This window comes from Homo sapiens, chromosome 22 (genome assembly GCF_000001405.40).
Source record: "Homo sapiens chromosome 22, GRCh38.p14 Primary Assembly".
NCBI classification, from domain to species: Eukaryota; Metazoa; Chordata; class Mammalia; order Primates; family Hominidae; genus Homo; species Homo sapiens.
Genome location: NC_000022.11, coordinates 40,950,050 through 40,973,949, shown reverse-complemented (window position 1 = coordinate 40,973,949; position 23,900 = coordinate 40,950,050). Strand labels below are relative to the sequence as shown.

General features: G+C 45.9%; 1 protein-coding gene across 1 annotated transcript, besides 5 other annotated features; it reads right to left on the bottom strand.

Annotated features, from left to right (window-relative positions):
* Positions 1-640: 640 nt before the first annotated feature.
* RBX1 (ring-box 1) lies at positions 641-22,572 on the bottom strand. Its single transcript, NM_014248.4, has 5 exons — positions 22,474-22,572; positions 20,317-20,395; positions 9,833-9,903; positions 6,066-6,151; positions 641-1,474 (listed from the first exon to the last, which is right to left on the bottom strand). Exons 1-5 carry the CDS (start codon positions 22,549-22,551, stop codon positions 1,462-1,464), a joined length of 327 nt encoding a protein of 108 aa, NP_055063.1. The 5' UTR covers positions 22,552-22,572; the 3' UTR covers positions 641-1,461.
* Positions 21,252-21,840: an enhancer, noted in NCBI's record as "H3K27ac hESC enhancer chr22:41348114-41348702 (GRCh37/hg19 assembly coordinates)". NCBI's record gives its function as "activates a minimal SCP1, AML or CMV promoter by ChIP-STARR-seq in primed H9 embryonic stem cells {active_cell/tissue: H9 hESC(primed)}" and the evidence as "EXISTENCE:reporter gene assay evidence [ECO:0000049][PMID:30033119]".
* Positions 22,296-22,505: an enhancer, noted in NCBI's record as "active region_19103". NCBI's record gives its function as "activates an Ori minimal core promoter by ATAC-STARR-seq in GM12878 lymphoblastoid cells {active_cell/tissue: GM12878}" and the evidence as "EXISTENCE:reporter gene assay evidence [ECO:0000049][PMID:35858748]".
* Positions 22,556-23,135: a silencer, noted in NCBI's record as "silent region_13775". NCBI's record gives its function as "represses an Ori minimal core promoter by ATAC-STARR-seq in GM12878 lymphoblastoid cells {active_cell/tissue: GM12878}" and the evidence as "EXISTENCE:reporter gene assay evidence [ECO:0000049][PMID:35858748]".
* Positions 22,556-23,610: a biological region, named in NCBI's record as "H3K27ac hESC enhancer GRCh37_chr22:41346344-41346934".
* Positions 23,020-23,610: an enhancer, noted in NCBI's record as "H3K27ac hESC enhancer chr22:41346344-41346934 (GRCh37/hg19 assembly coordinates)". NCBI's record gives its function as "activates a minimal SCP1, AML or CMV promoter by ChIP-STARR-seq in naive H9 embryonic stem cells {active_cell/tissue: H9 hESC(naive)}" and the evidence as "EXISTENCE:reporter gene assay evidence [ECO:0000049][PMID:30033119]".

Below are 23,900 nucleotides of genomic sequence, written 5' to 3'. Positions count from 1 at the left end.
ATACTTTGAGAACCACTGCAACAAACTATGTTGCTTCTCAGTTAAAAAGTCTATATTATTAACCATTGAATTAGTATTAGAACTGACAATTCTTTCCATCTCCCAAGATTTTTTTTTTTTTCTTTGAGACGGAGTTTCGCTCTTGTTGCCCAGGCTGGAGTGCAATGGCGCGATCTCGGCTGACTGCAACCTCCGCCTCCCAGGTTCAAGGGATTCTCCTCCTCAGCCTCCTGAGTAGCTCAGATTACAGGCGCACACCACCACGCCTGGCTAATTTTTTTATTTTTAGTAGAGACGGGGTTTCACCATGTTGGTCAGGCTGATCTCAAACTCCTCACCTTGTAATCGCCTGATTATAGGCATGAGCCACCATACCCAGCCAATATCAATTTTTAACTTGAGTTCTTAAATTGTCCCTTTGCCAGCCAAGATTATATATATCTTTATTTTTCTAAGCTAAGAAGAGAAAGCAACATGTCATACACCAGGCTTCCCTAACCCTTGAGCTGCGGAGTGGATGCCAGTCCATGGCCTGCTAGGAACCCGGCTGTACAGCAAGAGGTGAGCAGGGTGGTGACCGAGCATTACCGCCTGAGCTCTGCCTGTCACATCAGCGGCAGCGTTAGATTCTCATAGGAGCTTCAACCCTATTGGCGAACCGTGCATGTGAGGGATCTAGGTTGCGCGGTCCATCTACTGCCTCATGATCTCAGGTGGAACAGTTCCAAAACCATCCCCAAGCACACCCCCGCCCCACCCCCGGTCCATGGAAAAATCGTCTTCCATGAAACCAATCCCTGGTGGCAAAAAGGTTGGGGACTGCTGTCATACACAACCAAAGGTCACATTTGTATAGCGGTTTTACATTTTACAAAGCTTCTCTCTGTGCCCACATGATGCCACTTAGTCCTCAGAAGCCCACAGTACAGAGGAGGAAAGTTCAGAGTAGAGAGACAACTTGGCCAAGATTGCCATCAGTACCCAAGCTGTGGAACCAGGACTCAGAACTGGGTTTGATGACTGAATCCCACATTCTTCCCTCTTTCAGCTGCCCACTGCTGTCACACAGGAGAAAGAAGGGCTGACTGCTGTTTTCGGGAGCCGGTGATCCACACTCTGCCTTGAGCTGTTGGATTCCTCGTCACTAAGTGATGCGCTCAGAGGACAACCCTGCTCTGGCCCCGATGAACAAACATTTCACTTTCAAAAGCTGAGTTTTCAGCCTTGGAAGGGGAGACTCTTCATTTATGTTCACTTTGTTCACATACACAAGAGAGAGCATCCGTTCCAGAATCCAACTGGACTTTATTTGACACAGAATACAATATGGCTACAGAAACAGCAAACTGAAAAAACAAAGCAGAAAAAAACACAGTTCCATCCAATTTGTAATTAGGTAACAGCAGGGAAAGTCATTAAATGAATAACAAAACAATTAAGCTTGATGGAAGAAGTCTTTTCCTAGTGCCCATACCTGAAAGACAAAGTAAATTACTCTGATTAATTCCAAGATAATTTCCTGTTTGAGACATAAAACCTGCTTAAACACATAAGCAACTTTAGTTAGAACCTAAGTGATCACAGTGTGCTCCAGGATTAGGTGACGACACTGACACTAGCTTGGCTGTCGCTGTGATTCCCCTTTCCCCTCCCCATCTTACAGGACTTCTTGCCTACTGCCCCCTCTTAGGGACAGGCTCTCCCTCTGACTCAACCATGCCCACCTGACAGGTGCCAGTAGCTGCCTGGTGGTATTAGGGAGGTGAGAGGGAAAAGTCATTGGTGGTTGTGAAAGGGAGCTCCGCCTGCTCACTCCCAACAGGGGCTCAGACAGTTTGAACTTTCGGGCTGCCCTGATCATGGCGGCCTATTTTCACCTGAACTCCAGTACTCAGGCATGTTTAGGGTAAAGCTAATAATGAGAATAGCAATTGATCAGCCTTCAATTTCAAAATCTGTCATCAGCTCCAATTACAACTCTGATTACAGTCAGTTCTATACAAAGAGAAGAGAAGCTAGGCGTGGATTTTGGAGGTTTCTGTTTTCCCCAGAAACCAAAATTTGGCTCTAAGAAGATTATAAAAATTAACGGGGGCCGGGTGCAGTGGCTCACTCCTGTAATCCCAGCACTTTGGGGGGCTGAGGTGGGCAGATCACCTGAGGTCAGGAGTTCAAAACCAGCCTGGCCAACATGGTGAAACCCCGTCTCTACTAAAAATACAAAAATTAGCTGGGCGTGGTGGCAGGTGCCTGTAATCCCAGCTACTCAGGAGACTGAGGCAAGAGAACTGCTTCAACCCGGGAGTTGGAGGTTGCAGTGAACCGAGATCACAACCACTGCACTCCAGCCTAGGTGACACAGTGAGACTCTGTCTCAAAAAATATATATATAAATAAAAATAAATAAAGCCAAGGAATTTCTTCCACATATAAACAGATTTCTTGAACACAAGATCCCTCATTATTATCTTTTGTCCTGGATCTTTTTAGGCAGTTAACCTGATTAAAATAATTTGTTATTTGGATAGAAACTAGGGCACTGGAACTCTGGATCACAGCTTCTCATAAGAAATCTACTTGAATATTGTCTTTAAAAAGCTGTTGTGCCAAATTCCACATAGGTTAGGCTCTAGCATGTGAGATGGGCTGTAGAACAATCGTATCAGATTAAAGAAAGCTGAAGAATTTGTTTTCCCAAAGCACTGATAACTACCACCTGGGAAAGTCACCAGTTAGAGTGGCAGAGTCAAAGCCCCAGATAAGGAATTCTTCATACCCCCGCAATTCTTAGATTTAGCCCTGGGCACATGTACTGGCAAAACGAGACCATTCTGGTCTAAAATGGAACCTTGAGCCTGCTGTAGGGCAGAGCCAATTACAAAGGCCCCCTGAAAACTATGAAAAGTCCTCTGCCTTGACATGTATTCCTGTTATGGTTCCCTGTAGAATGCAAGCTCCAAGGGCAGGAAGGACCGTCTCAAATGTTTTTATATTTTACACGGTACTTAGCATATATTTTGCTGAAGGGAGCCCAACAGTACCACTCAGATACTGAGTATTTGGCAGGTTTCTTAAAAACTGAATACGCATTGATAAGACTTCCAAATGTTTTACCAAAATAAATTATTGAATTTAAAGGCAAAATCACTGCACCAATAATGGATTTCTAAACATTTCACAAACAAAAGAATCCTATTTTTTGGTTTTTTTAAACCCAAGAATAGCCTAATAAAGACGTATTTAAATTAAGAAACTCCTTTCCCGTAAAAAATTCAGTAAAGAAAATGACCAATAATTCAAAATAAAGCAACGTGCAGGAAGATAAACACAGCAGTTCACAGAAAAGCGTAAGAGATATAAAAACATGAACAATTGCCCAATCTTACTGAAAATTCAAAAATGAAAATCGAATACTGATTGTCACCTATCAGAGTGGCTAAGATGGAAAAACTGTATAATGAAGCACTGGCAGGAAATGAAGAAAGGGGAGTTCTGCTTCACTGTTTGGAGGGAGTATAAATTAGTGTGTATTCTTAGAAATGGAAAACCTGACACTATTTATCAAAAACAAAAATATACATTCCTTTTTTTTTTTTTTTGAGACGAAGTTTTGCTCTTTTGCCCCGGCTGATGTGGCGTGATCTCAGCTCACTGAAACCTCTGGGCTCCCGGGTTCAAGAGATGATTCTCCTGCCTCAGCCTCCCAAATAGCTGGGATTATAGGCACCACCATGCCTGGCTAATTTTTGTATTTTTAGTAGAGAGGGGGTTTCACCATGTTGGCCAGGCTGGTCTTGAACTCCTGACCTCAGGTGATCCACCCACCTCAGCCTCCTAAAGTGCTAGGATGACAGGTGTGAGCAACTACACCTGGGCTTTTTTTTTTTTTTTTTTTTAAATTGGGTCTATTACCTAGGCTGGAGTGCAGTGGCATGATCTCAGCTTACTGCAACCTCCGCCTCCTGGGCTCAAGCGATCCTCCCACCTCAGCCTCCAGAGCAGCTGGGACTACAAGTGCATGGCACCACATCCAGCTAATTTTCTTTCTTTTTTTTTTTTTTGAGATAGGGTCTCACTCTGTCATTTAGACTGGAGTGCAGTGGCACGATCTCTGCTCACTGCAACCTCTGCCTCCCAGGCTCAAGTGATTCTCCTGCCTCAGCCTCTGGAGTAACTGGGATTCCAGGCATGCACCACTACCGCCCAGCTAATTTTTGTATTTTTTAAAGTAGAGACGGGGTTTTACCATGTGGGCCAGGCTGGTCTCAAACTCCTGACCTCAAATGATCCACCTGCCTCAACCTGCCAAAGTGCTGGGATTACAGGCATGAGCCATCAGGCATGGCCTAATTTACTATTTTTTGGTAGAGATGGGGTTTCAACATGTTACCAGGCTGGTCTCGAACTAGTGGACTCAAGCAATCTGCCCACCTTGGCCTCCTAAAGTGTTGGGATCACAGGTGTGAGCCACCAAGCCCAGCCATACTCTTTACCCATAAATTCCTCTTTTAGGAATTACTGCTCCAGATACAGCTACACATTTACACAAAGCTTCATGTATAAGGATGTTTCTCCCTTCACATTGCTTGCATCAGTGAAAAACTGGAAACACAAATGTCCACCAATAGGGACTGACTTTGTTTTTTGAGATGGAGTTTCGCTCTTGTTGGAGTGCGATGGTGCGATCTCAGCCCACCACAATCTCCGCCTCCTGGGTTCAAGTATTCTCCTGCCTCAGCCTCCCAAGTAGCTGGGATTACAGGTATGTGCCCCCACGCCCAGCTGATTTTGCATTTTTAGTAGAGACGGGGTTTCTCCATGTTGGCCAGGCTGGCCTTGAACACCCAACCTCAGGTGATCCGCCTGCCTCGGCCTCCCAAAGTGCTGGGATTACAGGCGTGAGCCACCGTGCCTGGCCAGGGACTGACTTTTTAAAAAATATAAAAAATGTTAAAAACATGCAAACAAATAAAAAAAGAAAAGAAAAAAGTTAAGGTACATTTACATAAAGAAATACTCTGCAACCATTAGAAATGAGGTAGTTTGTTATTTGTGGAAATGGAAAATCTCCAAAATGTACAAAATGAAAAAAAAAAAAAAGGTGAATTACTGTATAGGATACTCACTTTTATGTTAACAAAAATATATATATACACACAACCATGTAAATACCGGGACATATAAGAGATAGTCAGAAAATCTCCTAAGAAGCTGTCCTGTTGCTGATGGCTAGCTCCAGCAAGCCGGAGCAGGGGCCTACAGTGGGAAATTCATATTCTGTGGTATACCCTTTCAACCATTTAAATTTTTAAAAGTTTACCAGGTCATGTTTTATTTATATAACAATAAAATCTAATCAGGATAGCCATAAATGCTATATCAGAATTAATCACTGTGAAATAAACCAGTGAAATATGATAAGTGGATACAAGTCTAGCCCAAAGCTACCTGACATTAGGTAGTCCATGGAGCCTCATTAGGATGTAATTCTGGAAATATTTAAGAGTTCATAGATTATCACATTTTCTACTTTCACAGACCGTAGAAGGTTGGGAAACCTGCCGGGCACGGTGGCTCACACCTGTAATCCCAGCACTTTGGGAGACCGAGGCAGGCAGATCAGTTGAGATCAGGAGTTCAAGACCAGCCTGGCCAACATGGTGAAACCCAATCTCTACGAAAAATACAAAAATTAGCTGTGCATGGTGGCACACACTTGTAATCCCAGCCACTTGCTAGGCTGAGGTGGGAGGATCGCTTGAATCTGGGAGGTGGACGTTGCAGTGAGCCAAGATAGCACCACTGCACTCCAGCCTGGGCAACAAAGCGAGACTCCGTCTCAAAAAAAAAAAAAAAAAAAAAAAGGTTGGGAAACCCTAGGCTGCAAATGTCTAATGTTGGCTAATCCTTTGTGCATTTTCCATATAGATAAGTCCTAGCTTAAGTAACCAAAAACTAGTTTTAAAAAAAACAAGGCATGTATCATGTCTCCATCCCCCAAGACCACGCTCCTTTCAGCCTGAGGCAAGTCAAAAAGCCCCGTCAAAACAACCAAAGATACCTACTTTTGGAATTCCCACTCTCTGTTGTCCAATGGACACACCTGTCGTGTTTTGAGCCAGCGAGAGATGCAGTGGAAGTGAAAAGCATGCTGAAAGAAAACATATATTTTATTAAAAATAACTCTATGCAGGCTCAGCCATCGAGCGACAACAGGTCCCACAGGGTAGTGGCATGGGTGACATATAGTGGGCAAGAAAAGAAAAGAAGACAACGAGAGGCAAAAGTTCAACAACTGATTATATCTTGGTTAGATGCAAGGGTATTTCCAACAAAGCATTTGTTAGAAATGTCATTACTACTAAAGGAAATCATTCAGGAAGCACAGGAGTATGTGCCAGCACTGAGCTCTCTTCTATTTAAGAGAACGTGGAATGTGGCTCCTTGGTCCCATTCAGCCTGTAAGGGGATACTTCCACTTTCTTTGGGAAAGGAGGCCCCTCATCAATGCAGATTTCAAATATCCCCATTCTGGGTCTCTAGCTTCCCTCCCACCCTCCTGCCCCTGGAGAATGCGACCTGTAGGAGCAGAGCCTTCTCCCCAGCCCTTGGTAGAGAAGTGCATGGTCACTGCCGCCCACCCAGAACTGAGACGGGCACTTCCCCAACCTCCCCACACCCAGCTCAGCTCTGGTCAAAGAAACTTTATTTCTAGATTTATTCACAGACATATTGATATTACAAGAGCTCAGTACTTCACGTGCCTTTAATGGGTGAGGGACTTTGTCTTAGGGAATGAGATAAAAGAAAATTGGGGTAAAAGGAAGTATTCTTATGAGGGACAAACGGCACACAAGCAGCCTAAAGAGCATCAAAAGGCTTATTTCATAATCAAGACAAGAAGTAAAAAGACAAGAGTATCAAGAACACTGGTAACTGACAGGGAGCTAGAAGTCTGCTTAGATTTGGGAAAAGGACAATCTGCATGCAGTTTTTTGGCGTGGGCTCATGACATGCAGATGCTAATCACAATGCTTCTGCAATGAGCACTTCTCCCCCTGCTCATGTGCGTATTAGGACAGACGCAGCAAGTGCTTCCTTCATTTCGTCTGTGATTGGTGCACTGTGGTGGGGCACGGGCAGAAATTACTCACCCTAACAAAACAACAAAAGCTTTACAAGCTTCATTTAATAACAACTGAAATCTGGTCGGTACGTCTCCCAAAGTATGTATGGAACTTAAGGGATTATATAATATGGATTATTATCTTGTGAAATGTTTTTTGACAAAGACAAAAATATAATTCAGTAACTAAGAGTGGAATCCACAGCTAGTACACTAGGGATACCCAAGAGGACAAATATTCTCTTAGAGTGACAGCCTTTTGGAAGATCCCTTTTCAGCTGACTCTTGTATAACTCACTGTGAAAAAGAGAAAGAGCAAAATTTCCAAAAGGCAGAAAGCAGAGACATTTTTCTTAACCATCAGGTGTTGGGGTCGGGCTCACCGAAGGGTATTCGACAGCTTCTCCCTCTCCCACCTCACCCACTGAGCACTTTGCAGCAGTACGGTGTCCTGGTAGAGCCCAACTAAGTCAGAGCATACCACGCGCTGGGGAAAAGGGGGCTGTAAAGGAGGTGTCAGGGAGGTGACAGCACCCCTGAACATTTACTAAGATGTATTAATGGATATATTTAGCGGTCAAAGTACAATTTACAGAAGATAAATTTATAGTACTTGACAGTTTACAGAAGATGTTGACATGTATTACCTCATTTGAGGCCTCACATCAACCCTGGCAGGCAAGCATGACAGATATTTTTATCTTCATTTTACAGACAGGAAACTGAAACCCAGACAAGTGACTTGCCTAATTCATGGAGCTGGTTTGTAGAAGACCCAGAACTAGAACCCAGGACTAATCCAGAGCCTTCTGCCACACCATGCTGGCTCTCTTCTACGGCAGGCTCTCTCAGAGAATCTCTCCTTAGCCAAATTTAAGGGGATGTTCACTCTCTTTTCTTTCCACATAAAGGAACATGGTTCTTAGTATATGTCTGTATGCCAGAAAGGGCAAAGAGCCCAATATACTTCCTTTATCCCCATGAACGATTAAAGCTCCCCCATGGCCAACATGGTCTATTGTGAGCCTGGCCAAAGGGTCCCAACAAAGATGGAAGAAGGTGTACCCGAAAGTGCGGGTAGGGGCTGGGCACGGTGGCTCACGCCTGTAATCCCAGCACTTTGGGAGGCCGAGGCTGGCAGATCGCCCCAAGGTCAGGAGTTTAAGACCAGCCTGGCCAACATGGCGAAACCCCATCTCTACTAAAAATACAAAAATTAGCTGGGTGTGGTGGTACACACCTGTAATCCCAGCTACTCGGAAGGCTGAAGCAGGACAATCACTTGAACCCAGGAGATAAAGGTTGCAGTAAGCCGGGACTGCGTCACTGCGCTCCAGCCTGGGCCACATAGTGAGACTCCGTCTCAAAAAAAAAACAAAAAACAAAAAACAAAAAAAAAAACAAAAAACCAGTGTAGGTAGGAAAAAGAGTTGCAACCCAACAGGAAAAACTACTGAGAACACCATCTACACAGTAACACCTCTACCTCAAATTTGTATTTATTTAGATTTTTTTTTTTTTGAGACAGAGTCTCACTTTGTCACCCAGGCTGGAGTGCAGTGGTGTGGTCTCGGCTCACTACAAGCTCCACCTCCCAGGTTCACGCCATTCTCCTGCCTCAGCCTCCCGAGTAGCTGGGACTACAGGCGCCTGCCACCACACCCGGCTAATTTTTTGTATTTTTAGTAGAGACGGGGTTTCACTGTGTTAGCCAGGATGTCTCCATCTGCTGACCTCATGATGCACCCGCCTCGGCCTCCCAGAGTGCTGGGATTACAGGCGTGAGCCACCGCGTCCGGCCTATTTAGATTTTTTTTAACAAGCACTTGTGCTTACTATGTGCCGGGAGTTGTTTAATCACATTTTAACATAAATCATCTAATCCGGATTACAATTTTATGTGGTCCACTATCAGCCCCATTTTATGAGGGAACCCAGGATTGGAGACGTTAAATGCCTTGCCTAACGTCACTTAGCAAGTAAGTCACAAAGACAGGGAATGGTGGTCTGACTCTAGAATCTCTTATCCCTGTGTCATGCTGGGAACTGTGAGTATTCTGTCCCCATGACACAGGAGGCCCTGACAAGACAATTTTAGCTCATGTGACTGGGACTTTACAGCTTAAAGAATGAATTTTTAACACATGCTAGAACTAACATATTTGATATTTGTTATCCTTCACAGCTGTCACACTCTTGGAAGGCCATTCAGTCCAATAAAGCTACACAAAACATTTCTGGCATAAGCCATGTTAAAAAATAATCTTATCTCAGTACATACGCCACACTTAAAACACACATACACAGAGACTTCAACACTCAATTTACTCATCAAACTTAGTTCCATTAGACACCTGGTCTTTAAAAAAGCCTGTTTCAAAGGTACAAAGTTCTACCACGAGAATATTCCAAAGGGTGCATGTAGGTTTTGAAGGCAATTCCCATAGATGAAGCCCCAAAATACTGCTAACAAAATTGGGTCCACTTTATAATTAAGACAAATAAGTGCCTCTTTGCAGTAACTGTAATTTTTACCCTGTAACAGGTGAATAGTATTATGATTTAAAATCTTTTTTACTATTTGTATACCTTTTGGGAGAAAGGTGGACTAGTCATTTTTTTCCCTAGTTATTTTCAAGACTAGCAAAGCAGGAAAAGTGGAAATATGTTTACAAGCCATGCTGACAGGTAAAGATGCTTCCTTACGTTACAGACTCCCCATGCGACAGTACACTCTTCTGAAGTAGCGGACGCCTGGTTAGCTTGACATTCTATGCCTGTGGGAACAAGAGCAACAGGATCACTGGACCTTGGGAGCAGCAACGTTTCAATCTATAGCAGCCAAAACAATTCTCAAGTGGTTAATTAGCCATAATTGTTTTTTAATGAATGTGGGAAAGGAAGAACAGAGAAGACAGAGATAACAGTATGCTTTCTGACGATTTCCTATCCTTGTTTAAAAAGAGTAACAAATGGGAAATGCACATCTCACTCCCGTTGCCCAGGCTACAGTGCAGTGGCATGAGCATGGCTCACTGCAGCCTTGACTTCCTGGGCTTAGGTGATTCTCCCTCAGCCTCCTGAGTAGCTGGGACTACAGGTGCGTGCCACCACACCAGCTAATTGTTTGTATTTTTTGTAGAGATGGAGTTTCACCATGTTGCCTAGACTGAGTTTTTTTCCTTTTGAGATGGAGTTTCCCTCTTGTTGCCCAGGCTGAAGTGCAATAGCACAATCTTGGCTCACTGCAACCTCCGCCCCCCGAGTTCAAGCGATTCTCGTGTCTCAGACTCCCAAGTAGCTGGAATTAACAGGCGCACACCACCATGCCTGGCTAATTTTGTATTTTTAGTAGAGATGGGGTTTCTCCGTGTTGGCCAGGCTGGTCTCAAACTCCTGACCTCAGGTGATCCGCCCACCTCAGCCTCCCAAAGTGCTGGGATTACAGGCATGAGCCACCGCACCTGGCCTGCAATGAGTTCTTGACTGAGATCAAGATCTGATGGGTAAAGCACAACTGGGGATAAATATTCACAGAACAAGAATTACTAATGCATAACTTGCTTTCTCTGATCATAGTAACTAAATGGAGTCTCCCTTCTGAAGAATAAAAAGCTTCAGGAGAAACTATTTAATAGGGGAGAATTACTTCAAACTACTACAGGTGAAAAATAGTAAAACTATGGCTGGGCGTGGTGGCTCACACCTGTAATCCCAGCACTTTGGGAGGCTGAGGCAGGCGGATCACGAGGTCAGGAGTTCAAGACTAGCCCACCCAACATGGTGAAACCTGTCTCTACTAAAAATATGAAAAACTAGCCAGGAGTAGGCCAGGCGCGATGGCTCACTCCTGTAATCTCAGCACTTTGGGAGGCCGAGGCAGGCACATCATGAGGTCAGGACTTTGAGACCATCCTGGCCAACATAGTGAAACACCGTCTCTACTAAAAAAAAAAAAAAAAAATTAGCTGGGCGTGGTGGCGGGTGCCTGTAGTCCCAGCTACTCAGGAGGCTGAGGCAGGAGAATTGCTTGAACCCAGGAGGCGGAGCTTGCAGTGAGCCAAGATTGCATCACTGCACTGGAGCCTGGGCGACAGTGCAAGACTCCGTCTCAAAAAATAAATAAATAAAAATAAAAATAAAAAAATAAATAAAAATTAGCCAGGTGTGTGTGGTGGTGGGCGCCTGTAGTCCCAGCTATTCAGGAGGCTGAGGCAGAAGAATTGCTTGAATCCGGGAGGCAGAGGTTGCAGTGAGCCAAGACTGCGCCACTGCACTCCAGCCTGGGTGACACAGTGAGACTCTGTCTCAAAAAAAAAAAAAAAAAAGTAAAACTATTAAAAAAAACAAAACTAGATGTTAATGGGCATGTGTGGTTTTAGGGGAAGAGATACCATGATAATACCTTTTTCTTTTCACTCTTCGAAAATGTGGAAAGTGGGCCGGGCATGTTGGCTCACACCTGTAATGCCAGCACTATGAGAGGCTGAAGTCAGGAATTCGAGACCAGCCTGACCAACACGGCAAAACCCAATCTCTACTAAAAATACAAAAGTTAGTGGTGCATGGTGGTACATGTCTGCAATCCCAGTTACTTGGGAGGCTGAGGTAGGAGAATTGCTTGAACCCAAGGGGCAGAGGTTGCAGTGAGCCGAAGTTGCACACCACTGTACTCCAGCCTGGGCAAAAGAGCAAGACTCTGTCTCAAAAAACAAACAAACAAACAAACAAACCATAAAAGGCTGGGAGTAGTGGCTCACGCCTGCAATCCCAATGCTTTGGAAGGACGAGGGTGACGGATCACTTGATGTCAGGGTTCGAGACCAGCCTGGCAAACATGGCAAAACCCCCTCTCTACTAAGAAGGCAAAAATTAGCCAGGCATGGTGGTGGATATCTGTAATCCCAGCTACTCAGGAGGCTGAGGCAGGAGAATCACTTGAACCCAGGAGGCAGAGGCTGCAGTGAGCCGAGATCACACCACTGCATTCCAGCCTGGGTGACAGAGTAAGGCTGACACACACACACACACACACAGAGAAAGCAAAGCACTTACTTTTGCTAGCCAGATTCACACTACAGAGTAACTTGGTTTGCCAACTGATAAAAATAAAGAATTGGGGCCAGGCCCGGTGGCTCACGCCTATAATCCCAGCGTTTTGGGAGGCTGAGGCGGGTGGGTCACGAGGTCAGGAGATCGAGCCCATCCTGGCTAACATGGTTTCTACTAAAAATATTTAAAAATTAGCCAGGCGTGGTGGCGGGCACCTGTAGTCCCAGCTACTCAGGAGGCTGAGGCAGGAGAATGGTGTGAACCCGGGAGGCGGAGCTTGCAGTGAGCCAAGATCGCACCACTGCGCTCCAGCCTGGGTAACAGAGCGAGACTCTGTCTCAAAAAATAAAAATAAAAATAATAAAATAAAATAAAAATAAAGAATTGGGTCAGGCACAGTCGCTCACACCTGTAATCCCAGCACTTTGGGAGGCCAAGGCAGCAGGATCACTTTAGCCCACGAATTCAAGACCAGGCTGGGCAACACAGCAACATCTCATCTCTAGAAATAAAAAAATTAGCCAGTTGTGGTAGCACATGCCTGTGGTCCCAGCTACTAAGGAGGCTGAGGCAGGAGAATGGCTTGAGCACAGGCGGTTGAGGCTGCAGTGCACCATGATCGTACCACTGCACTCCAGCCTAGGTGACAGAGCAAAACCTTGTTATCAAAAAAAAAAAAAAAAAAAAAAAGGCCAGGCACGGTGGCTCGGCCGGGCGTGGTGGCTCATGTCTGTAATCCCAGCACTTTGGGAAGTCGAGGCAGGCAGATCATCTGAGGTCAGGAGTTCGAGACCAGCCTGGCCAACATGGCGAAACTCTGTCTCTTCTAAAAATACAAACAATTAACCGGGTGTGGTGGGTGGCGCATGCCTATAATCCCAGCTACTAGAGAGGCTGAGGCAGGAGAATCGCTGGAACCTGGCAGGCAGAGGTTGCAGTGAGCTGGGATCGCGCCACTGCACTCTACCCTGGGTGAAAGAGCGAGACTCCATCTTAAAAACAAACAAAAAAGGGATCTAGGGTCTATGCAGTGTATTTAAGAACTTATTGAAACTGGAATACACTACTATAATTAAAAGAATGGCAGAGAAAAGTAAATATGATGTCCTTTAAGCTGGATCCTCTAACTTAGAGGAAGACTATGTATTATAAAATTAGCTAAATAAGAGCCACAATTATTAAAGTGAAAATCAAAACTGTTTCAAGGTACATTATCGTGTTTAAATTTGATCTGGGTCTTTCTTTTGACTGTGGCCATGGCACTACTAACCTAAAGAACCCTTCAGGCTCCCTTCACGGTAGAGTCCTTTCCTTCGTCCCTGCCATACCTGGAACATGCTCCTCCTCCTATCACTCTCAAGTCCTCCCCACCCTTCAAGACCCAGCTTAAATCCCTACTTCTTGACTGAAGCTTTTCCTGACTCTTCCACCCTGAGTCATTTTCCTCTCCTTCAGGCACTCTTAACACATCAATTATGAGTATCTCTTTACATACCTGACCTCCCTCCTTCCCCCTCAACTCAAAGCTCCCACAGAGCAGGGACCTGGTCTTTCTATGCCAAGTGCAAATTAGGCTCTTGGTACTTGAACAAGCAAACAAAAACTATTTCTATAAATAGAAGAAATACGGGACAAATACAGATTCATTCTTTTTTTTTTAGACAGTCTCGCTCTGTTGCCCAGGCTGAAGGGCAGTGGCACAATCTCCACACTGCAACCTCCACCTCCCGGGTTCCAGCTATTCTCTCACCTCAGCCTCCCAAGTAGCAGGGATTACAGGTGTGCACTACCATACCAAGCTAATTTTTTGTATTTTTAGTAGAGACGGGGTTTCACCATGTTGGCCAGGCTGGTCTTTAACTCCTGACCTCAAGTGATCTGCCTGCCTCGGCCTCCCATGGTGCTGAGATTACAGGCGTGAGCCACTGCATCCGACCAAGATTCATTCCTTTTTTTCTTTTAGACAGAGTCTAGCTTTGTCCCCCCAGGCCGGAGGGCACTGGTGCAATCTTGGCTCACTGCAACCTCTGTCTCCCAGGTTCAAGTGATTCTCCCGCCTCAGCCTCCCAAGTAGCTGGGACTACAGGCATGCGCCACCATGCCTGGCTATTTTTTGTATTTTTAGTAGAGATGGGGTTTCCCCACGTTGCCCAGGCTGGTCTTGCACTTCTGGCCTCACACGATCCACGCGTCCTGGCCTCCCAAAGTACTGGGATTATAGGCGTGAGCCACCGAGCCCGGCCAGATTCATTCTTTACTACAAAATTCCTAACAAAGAACAAAAATGTATAGGAGGGATATTACTGCAATCTAGAGTACCAAATAAGAAGGGATATAGCAGGGAAAATGATTAAATATTAGTGTAAAATGTGCTCAATACAAAAGTTTTCCAGCTTTTGTTGCAGAGAGTAAGTACAGGGGTTGAGTCCAGTTAGTTTAAACGGGCAGGAACTGTTCACTGTCAACCCAGAACAGGTTGACAGTGGCACATAACGGGTTCATGTCACACCCCTGCCAAGGCAGAAGCCTATCATGTGATTTATAAAGCTTGGGGACCTTTAAGCTTTGATAAAAACGCTGTACCACCAAAGAACTGTTAAGGAAGCAATGGCTTCATCTCAAGAGTAGACAGATTACACTTTCAAAACACTGACGGGGCCGGGCGTGGTGGCTCACGCCTGTAATCCCAGCACTTTGGGAGGCCGAGCCGGGTGGATCACTCGAGGTCAGGAGTTAAAGAGACCAGACTGGCCAACATGGTGAAACCCTGTTTCTACTAAAAATACAAAAATTAGCTGGGCATGCTGGTGCATACCTGCAGTCTCAGCTGCTCAGGAGGCTGAGGCAGGAGAATAGCTTGAACCTGGGAGGCAGAGGTTGCAGTGCACCGAGATCATGCCACTGCACTCCAGCCGAGGCAACAGAGCAAGACTCTGTCTCAAACAAACCAAACCAAACCAAACCAAACCAAACCAAACCAAACCAAACCAAACCAAAATACTGATGGATCTGTAGTTTTAGGTAGATGCTAACATCTTCTGGGCCAAGGCTGGGTCTAAGATGATGAAGATTCCCCATCATCAGGAATAAGATTACCAGAGGTAATAGAGAAAATAAAACCTCACATATTTGATTTTTCAGCAACTCCTTAATACAACCAAGGAAGGAGACAGTGTAAAATAAAATAAATACAAAGGTACAGGAGGGCATGCAGAATCAATATGGACTTAAAAGAGGAAGTCTTCAGAATCCGACTAGGGCACAGCCATAATCATTCTTATTTACTTAGAGCTATGTATATAATTACTCATTTAAGGTCAGACAAGATTTATTAAAATACAACCGTTGCTAAATCTAGATTCTTACTTTCATCTTTAACAAAAATTGTCTTTATAAAAATGATAAATCCATTTTTTTCTTTACTTGCTAAGTTCTTTTCCCATATAAATCCTTTTTTTTTTTTTAAGTTATGGCACTCAGACTTCTCCTCAGTGTCTATAATAAAAGTGTGTGGCCAGGGGCAGTGGCTCACACCTGTAAGCTCAGTGTTTTGGAAGGGCAAGGCAGGAGGATTGCTTGAGTCCAGGAGTTCAAGACAAGCCTGGACAACACAGCAAGACCCAATCTCTACAAAAAATTAAAAAATTAGCAGCTAGATGCGGTGGCTCACACCTGTAATCCCAGCACTTTGGGGGCCGAGATGGGTGATCATGAGGTCAGGAGCTCGAGACCAGCCTGGCCAACATAGTGAAACCCCATTTCTACTAAAAATACAAAAAATTAGCCAGGTGTGGTGGCGGGTACCTGTAATCCCAGCTACTCGGGAAGCTGAGGCAGGAGAATTGTTTGAACCCAGAAGGTGGAGACTGCAGTAAGCCGAGATCGTGCCACTGCACTCCAGCTGGGTGACAGTGTGAGACTCCGCCTCCAAAAAAAAAAAATTAGCTAGGTGTGGTAGTGCACGTCTGTGGTCCCAGCTACTTAGAGGCTGAGGTAGGAGGACTGCTTGATCCCAGGTCAAGGCTGCAGTGAGCTATGACTGTGCCACTGCGCTCCAGCCTGGGCACTTGAGTGAGACCCTGTCTCTAACAAAAAAATACATAAAAATAAAAAATAAACAGTGTTTCTCTTTTTGAGATAGGGTCTCACTCTCTCACCTAGGCTGGAGTGCAGTGGCAAAATCTTGACTCACTGTCACCTCTGCCTCCCGGGCTCAAGGGATCTTCCCACCTCAGCCTCCCAAGTAGCTGGGACCACAGGCATAAGCCACCATGCCTGGCTAATTTTTTGTAGAGACAGGGTTTCGCCATGTTGCCCAGGCTGGTCTTGAACTCCTAGGCTCAAGCGATCTGCCCGCCTCAGCCACCCAAAGTCTTGGGTTTACAGGTGTGACCCACCTCACCTGGCCAAGAGTGTCTTTTTTTTTGAGACAGAGTTTTGCTCTTTTTGTCCAGGATGGAGTGCAATGGCAGGATCTCGGCTCACTGCAACCTCTGCCTCCCAGGTTCAAGTGATTCTCCTGCCTCAGCCTCCCATGTAGCTGGGATTACAGGTGCGTGCTACCACGCCTGGCTAATTTTGTATTTTTAGTAGAGATGGGGTTTCACTGTGTTGGCCAGGATGGTCTGGATCTCCTGACCTCATGATCCCCCCGCCTCAGCCTCCCAAAGTGCTGGGATTACAGGCATGAGCCACCGCGCCCCGCCTAAGAGTATGTTTCTTTTTTTTGTTGTTGTTGAGATGGAGTCTCACTCTGTCACCCAGGCTGGAGTGCAATGGCGCGATCTCAGCTCACTGCAACCTCCGCCTCCTGGGTTCACGCCATTCTCCTGCCTCAGCCTCTCAAGTAGCTGGGACTACAGGCGCCCGCCATCGCACCCAGCTAATTTTTTGTATTTTTAGTGGAGACGGGGTTTCACCTTGTTAGCCAGGATGGTCTCGATCTCTGGACCTTGTGATCTGCCCGCCTTGGCCTCCCAAAGTGCTGGGATTACAGGTGTAAGCCACCACGCCTGGCCTAAGAGTGTGTTTCTTAAAGGTAAAGACTTGAGGTCGGACATGGTGGCTCACACCTATAATCCCGGCACTTTGGGAGGCCAAGGGGGGTGGTTTTTTTGAGGCCAGGAGTTTGAATGGGTCATGTCTGTAATCCCAGCGGTTTGAGAGGCCAAGGCGAATGGATCACCTGAGGTCAGGAGTTTGAGACCAGCCTGGCCAACATGGTGAAACCCTGTCTCTCATAAAAATACAAAAAATGAGCCGGGTGAGGTGGCCCACACCTGTAGTCCCAGCTACTTGGGAGGCTGACGCAGGAGAATCACTTGAACTCCAGCCTGAGCGACAGAGACTCTGTCTTTAAAAAAAAAAAAAAAAAAAAGGTAAAGACCTGCCCGATCTCACTCATTGTTTTATCCTGGTGCCTACCAGGATGCTCAGGATATATTCATTGGATAAATAAAAGATAGGACTTAGAAAATACTTTCATAAGTTTTTGTTATAGGATTTCAATATCCTACTTCATCTGACATTCAAAATATATTATGAAACAAAACAGGTATCCCACTGAAAGCCTAATATGATGTCTCAAGCATTTCACTCTAAGAGAAGACAATATAGATCGCCTTTGTCTTCTGTGGTCCTTTTAAGAAGTACATTCTCTCATATCCAGAGACACATATACACTGACTTAAATATAGAGAAAAAAAAATCAGGGTTATATAAAATCATTAAAAATCATTAACTATTTTCAAAACAGAGCCCCAAGAAAGTAAAATTTTCTCTGGGTATAACTCCTTGTGAAAATGCAAGGCCGAGAAACTGGCAAGCATGTAATCAAAGACCCCACCCAAACACATTTGAAACCCTGCATATGTTTTTCTGTGATGGGTTCACGGCATCTATATTAAACATTATGGTAGGTGCTGATCTTCCTTGGCTGTAGTGTGAAGAGATAAACAGTGTCAAAGCTCAAAGAAGCCAAGGGCAATACATGACCAGTATAAGCCATGACTGCTTTCCAACAGAAAATATTTGATTCGTGCTTTTCAAGTTGAAAACATCTGAGCAAGTTTAAGATAAGATCTAAAGCTCAACTATGGGTTAGTCTTACATTGCACAATAAAGTAGTTATTAACCACATGTGACTACTGAGCACTTGAAATGTGGCTAGTCTGAATCCAGATGTGCTGTAAGTGTAAAATACACAGAATTTCAAAGATAGTACAAAGACAGAATGTAAAATATCTCATTTTTTTTTTACATCAATTACATGTTGAAGTAAAACTATTTTGACTATATAAGGTTAAATAAAATACATTAATTTCACCTTTTTATTTTCTTTTTACTTTATGAATGTGGATACTAGAAAATTTCAGGCCAGCCACAGTGGCTCACGCCTATAATCGCAACATTTTGGAAGGCCAAAGTGGGAGGATCACTTGAAGCCAGTTCGAGACCAGCCTGGGCAACAAAGCGAGATCCCGTCTCTGAAAAAAACAAAAAAAAAAAAAAAGGAAAAAGAAAATTTAAAATTATATACGTGTTTGTACTGGCTTACATTCAGATTGGACAGTGCTGGGTTAGACAAAACCAAGGAAGAGAAGAGGTGAAGAATATTCTAGGCAAAAAAGACTAGGCTATTTAAGGGCTCTAAAATAGAGCATGGACACTTAAGAATGGAAAAGCAGGCCGGGCATGGTGGCTTATGCTTGTAATCCCAACACTTTGGGAGGCAGAGGCACGCGGATCACCCGAGGTCAGGAGTTCGAGGCCAGCCTGGCCAACACGGTAAAACTGTGTCTCTACTAAAAATACAAAAATTAGCTGGGTGTGGTGGCAGGTGCCTGTAATCCCAGCTATTGAGGAGGCTGAGGCAGGAGAATCACTTGAACTCGGGAGGCGGAGGTTGCAGTGAGCTGAGATCACGCCACTGCACTCCAACCTGGGCGACTCCATCTCAGAATAAGGAAAAAAAATGGAAAACTGGCCGGGGCCATGGCTGCTTTGGCCACCGTGGTCAGTTAAAAAAAAAAAAAAGCATCCAGGTAAACTAACAGAGTGAGCAGGAGTGACTCAAGACAAAGTTGTAAAGGCAGGTGAGTGATCTGAAAAATAAGTTCCTATAATTCCATTTCTAGAAACTTAAAGTTTCTTTCCTCCATTTCTGGCCTCAGTAACAAATCATTTTAGTTCCCGGATGAAAAAGTAACCTCAACTGTTCCTGGTGTGATCAACATTCTTGTCCCTTCTACTGTAAGGACAGGAAATCAGTTCATCAAAGACTATAATCAGATCACTATGTGCTGACCACTACATGTAATAAAATATGTGGAGATTTAAATGAAATTTCTTTAGTGCAATTAATTATTTATTTAGATGTTGGCAATGATTTCCTTTTTATTATGTTTGGGCCTAACATACAAAATCCTCACTCCTTAACGCTTCTTTCCTTTGTAAACAATGACCAGCAAAAATTAGATCAGATAGACTTTTTTTTTTTTTTGAGACTTTGAGTCTTGCTGTGTCGCCCAGGTTGTAGTGCAGTGGTGTGATCTCGGCTCACTGCCACCTCTGCCTCCCAGGTTCAAGCAATTCTCCTGCCTCAGCCTGCCAAGTAGCTGGGATTACAGACATGCACCAGTACGCCCAGCTAATTTTTGTATTTTTAGTAGAGACAGGGTTTCACCATGTTGGCCAGGTTGGTCAACTCCTGGCCTCAAATGATCTGCCCGCCTTGGCCTCCCAAAGTGCTGGGATTACAAGCATGAGCCACTGCGCTTGGCCTCAGAATATTTTAGCTCAAAGTTTATTTTCCTCCTTTCACTATTTCTACCTTTGAGTCTAGGTACAAGATGGAAGATATGCAGGAAAAATCAACAGTGCCTGTCGTCCACAATTAATTCTAAATGTGTCCCTGCCATCTTTAGATTGAGTAGATTTATTCTGAGAGCTGGGTATGCCTCCAGGACATCATAAAAAAACTACTCTATTTCAAACACACCAACAGACTAGATACAGAAGACCGAGTGCTCAGAGTAGGCTTGCTATCTCCTCGTGTGAAGAAGAAAATCAGTCACATCAAGATAGCCACAATCTCTGCAACCTTCTCAACTTCCTCCCATCCTCCTCCAATTACTTACAAAGATCCATAATGTGGTTCCTGCAGATGGCACAGTTATCAACCACAATATCCCAGGCCCAGAGGGCTACTGCATTCCACTGCAAAGACAAAAAGAGGGAACAGTGCATTCTGCTTGTAACACACACACATACTCTTTAGGACCTCAGGCTGCAGCTGCAGTTATCATCTCTTTGGCCACAGGGAACCACCAAACAAAAGTTTTTGGATATTACGTTAATCTTATTATACCAAAGACAACAGTAGACTACACGTATGTTCTATTCTCCAAAAGGCTGAGTATATGAACACAGAAATTAATGTCATCTTTTAATTTGTTTCCTATAGTTTAAAATAATTTAGTCTGGCCGGGTGCAGTGGCTCACGCCTATAGTCCTAGCATTTTGGGAGGCCGAGGCGGGCCGATCACTGAGGTCAGGAGTTCAAGACCAGCCTGGCCAACATGGCAAAATCCTATCTTTACTAAAAATACAAAAATTAGCCAGGCCTGGTGGCGGGTGTCTATAATACCAGCTGTTTGGGAAGCTGAGGCAGGAGAATCGCTTGAATCTGGGGGACGGAGGTTGCAGTGAGCCAAGATCGTGCCACTGCACTCCAGCCTGGGCGACAGAGTGAGACTCCATCTCAAAAAAAAAAAAAAAAAAAAAAAAAGGGCACAAACTTGAATTTCTGTGCAGGTTTTGGTGGCAGTTGCAGAAGAGCTCAAAATCTGAATAAGTATCTGCTCTACACAGCTCTGGAAGCATGAGCAATGAAGTGAAAGCTAGAGAACAGAATGAACTAAGATAATGACTGGATCATAAAATGGGTAATCATGGGATAAGCTGGATAATTAAATACCCGTGTCAGTACACAGAACAAGGTCATCACTTAAATCTTAGATTACTTCATAACAAATTCTACAATTCACTAGAATTTTGATTCTTACCATAAAATAAACTGATGTTCTCAACTTTTATATGTTTAGACTCTTCTATTAAGATAATAATTCCAGTAAGAGTTTAACAGAATTTCATTCATTCAACTCTGGCTTCCTCAATTACAAATACTCCCAAACCTTCTTCGCTTTCAAACCCCATTCTCAGTGCCTAGTAACTTCTTTACCACTTTTCACATCACAGCTTCAAGGTGGAGGAAAAGCCCCTACTTCTATTATTTTTCAATATGGCTGCTGGCTGTAACTGAGCAGCAGTGGCCACAATGAGACACCAAAAAGCACTAGGACGGGGGATATTGTCAGTGTTTAGCCAGATGTTCTAGGAATATCTTCCCTATTTTAGAATCTCCATTTTGAACAGCTTTCATGTTAGGTGAGAATCGATACTGTTCTCCCAAACTGTGGCAAACCACTAAAAGGCATTTCATGCAAAAAGACACGTTCCATTTTTGCTTTCCCACGCTTACCAAGTCGTTCGCGACTAGTACTCAACCCTCCCTAACTGCCACAGGATTTGGGCTCGGATTTTCTTAACAAGTTCCACCATGCTTTTTATTATTATTTTGGAAGGGGGAGATTCTGGACGTGACAGAGAACCCAAGAGTGGGGTGGTTGTGTGAAAAGCCAACAGACGTCTCAGAAGAGCCAAGCATTACACTCCAGACTCTAACCAGGCAGTGTGAGGCCTCGGTTCAGCGAGGATCCCTCCAAGTGAGAGGACCCCTCCAAGTGAGAGGACCCCAAGCTTCAAAAAGGGGCGGAGCAAGATCACCAAGGGGGGTCCTCAGAGGCCTCTAATGCGGTAGGACCTCAGGTTCCAGGCTCTCGCCGCACTGCCCCATCCTCCACCGCCGCATTCGCTTCGACTCCCCATTCCACCCACCCCACCCCACCCTACCCTGTCCTTCCCCCACCTCTCAACCACTCCAGTGACAGCTCAAGCGCTTGGCTCCCGCCGCCAAGTCGCAACCCCGCGTATCTCAATAAGCAGCTCTGTGATTGGCCCCTTAGCCTCACAGCGAAACCAACACTTCCCCCAACAGTGGGCCGCCGTCACGCCGATCAACTCTAAGACCCGCCCCCCGGCTTCCTTTCGTGGTACCCGGTCCCAGGAACGCCCTGAAATGAAACCCTTTACTCCGCGCCTCGACCATCCTCGGGCCTGCCAGCCAGATCCGCGCCTCTCTAGCTTCCCTGAGGAAGGCGCTGGCGAGACCCAACCTTTTTCACTTCAAAGCGCTTCTTGCCCGCGCCGCTGTTGGTGCCGCTCGGGGTATCCACATCCATCGCTGCCGCCATTTTGGAAACACACGGTCTGTCGTCCGACCACCGCGCCTGCGCAGCAGCGCACACTTCGCTCCCCCCACCTCCCCGGCACCTCCTCCCGCACCCCACCCCTTACTGGCGCGCGAGGCGGAGGTGGGGGCGGAGCACGTGACCACGCCTCTTAAAGGGGCTGTCGCAGGTCGCCCCACCCGCGAACTGTAGGCCGGGGAGGGGGCGGTGGCCGGAGTGGGTGGGGCGGGGCCGGGCGGGGCCGGGCGGGGCCGAGGCTACGTGAGCTAGCCGGGTGGAAACGTTCGAAAGGGCTCGACGTCGCCGCCTCCTCTGGGAAGCCCCCGGCCGCACTCCGTCAGCTGGGGCGGCGGCTGCTTCCTCCGCCTGAGCCAGACCTGCGCCGCAGTCCTGTCCTGCCTGCCGGGCTCGCCGAGTCGCCGCGCGGCTCCCGGTGCTGGCGTGGGTGGGCGCCCGCGGCCTGCCCCGAAACCCAAGAGTCCTCGCTGGTCTTTCGCAGACTCTGACCCGCTTCCGAGCCAGGCCCAAGGTGCAGTCCCCGTGGGAGGGCTGGGGCCCAGGCACCGTCTGGTCTCCGATTTCTGTTCGGGAACTGCTCAGGGATTCGATGGGGAGAGAGGAGACCCCCGAAGTTCCTCCCTAAGGCCACACTGAGCAGGCCCCCAGCCCTGCCTTTACTCGCCCGCCAAGCCTGGGGGGTGGCCTCTGCGCCCACATAGTCGCAGTCCTAGGACCGCCTTTGGTCGTGGTGCACGGTTTCACCGTAACGTGTGTCAGTCCCCACTCCGCATTCCTCAGTTGTCATCTTTGTAGGGTGATTTCTCCCCGATCTGTGTCCTTTTTCCGCTGCTTGTGCTGTAGTGAAACCGACCCATCTGCAGTCGCTGTATTTCTTGAATTTTTGTGAGGCATTCTTTTTTAACTCTTGTTGCCCAGGCTGGAGTGTAATGGCGCGATTTCGGCCCACTGCAACCTCCGCCTCCAGGATTCAAGCGATTCTCCTGCCTCAGCCTCCCGAGTAGCTGAGATTACAGGCGCCCGCCACCACGCCCGGCTAATTTTTTGTATTTTTAGTAGAAACGGGGTTTCACCACGTTAGCCAGGCTGGTCCCGAACTCCTGACCTCAGGTGATCCGCCTGCCTCGGCCTCCCAAAGTGCTAGAGCCGCTTTTTTTTTTTTTCTTTTTTAATTTTTTTAAAAAATAGAGACAAGGTCTCACTATGTTGCCTAGGCTGGTCTCGAACTCCTGGGCCCAAGTGATCCTCCCACTTCGGCCTCCCAAAGTGCTGGGATCACAGGAGTGAGCCATCCCACCCGACCCAAGCACCTGTACTTTGTCACTCTCCCATTT

What these genes read in the sequence shown, in the direction of transcription:
- RBX1 (NM_014248.4), bottom strand. Translation starts at nt 22,551, where the DNA reads ATGGCGGCAGCGATGGATGTGGATACCCCGAGCGGCACCAACAGCGGC. An exon ending in GAACCACATTATGGATCTTT is followed by an intron (nt 9,904 to 20,316) that starts GTAAGTAATTGG and finishes TTGTTCCCACAG; the next exon opens with GCATAGAATGTCAAGCTAAC. An exon ending in TCGCATGGGGAGTCTGTAAC is followed by an intron (nt 6,152 to 9,832) that starts GTAAGGAAGCAT and finishes GTTTTCTTTCAG; the next exon opens with CATGCTTTTCACTTCCACTG.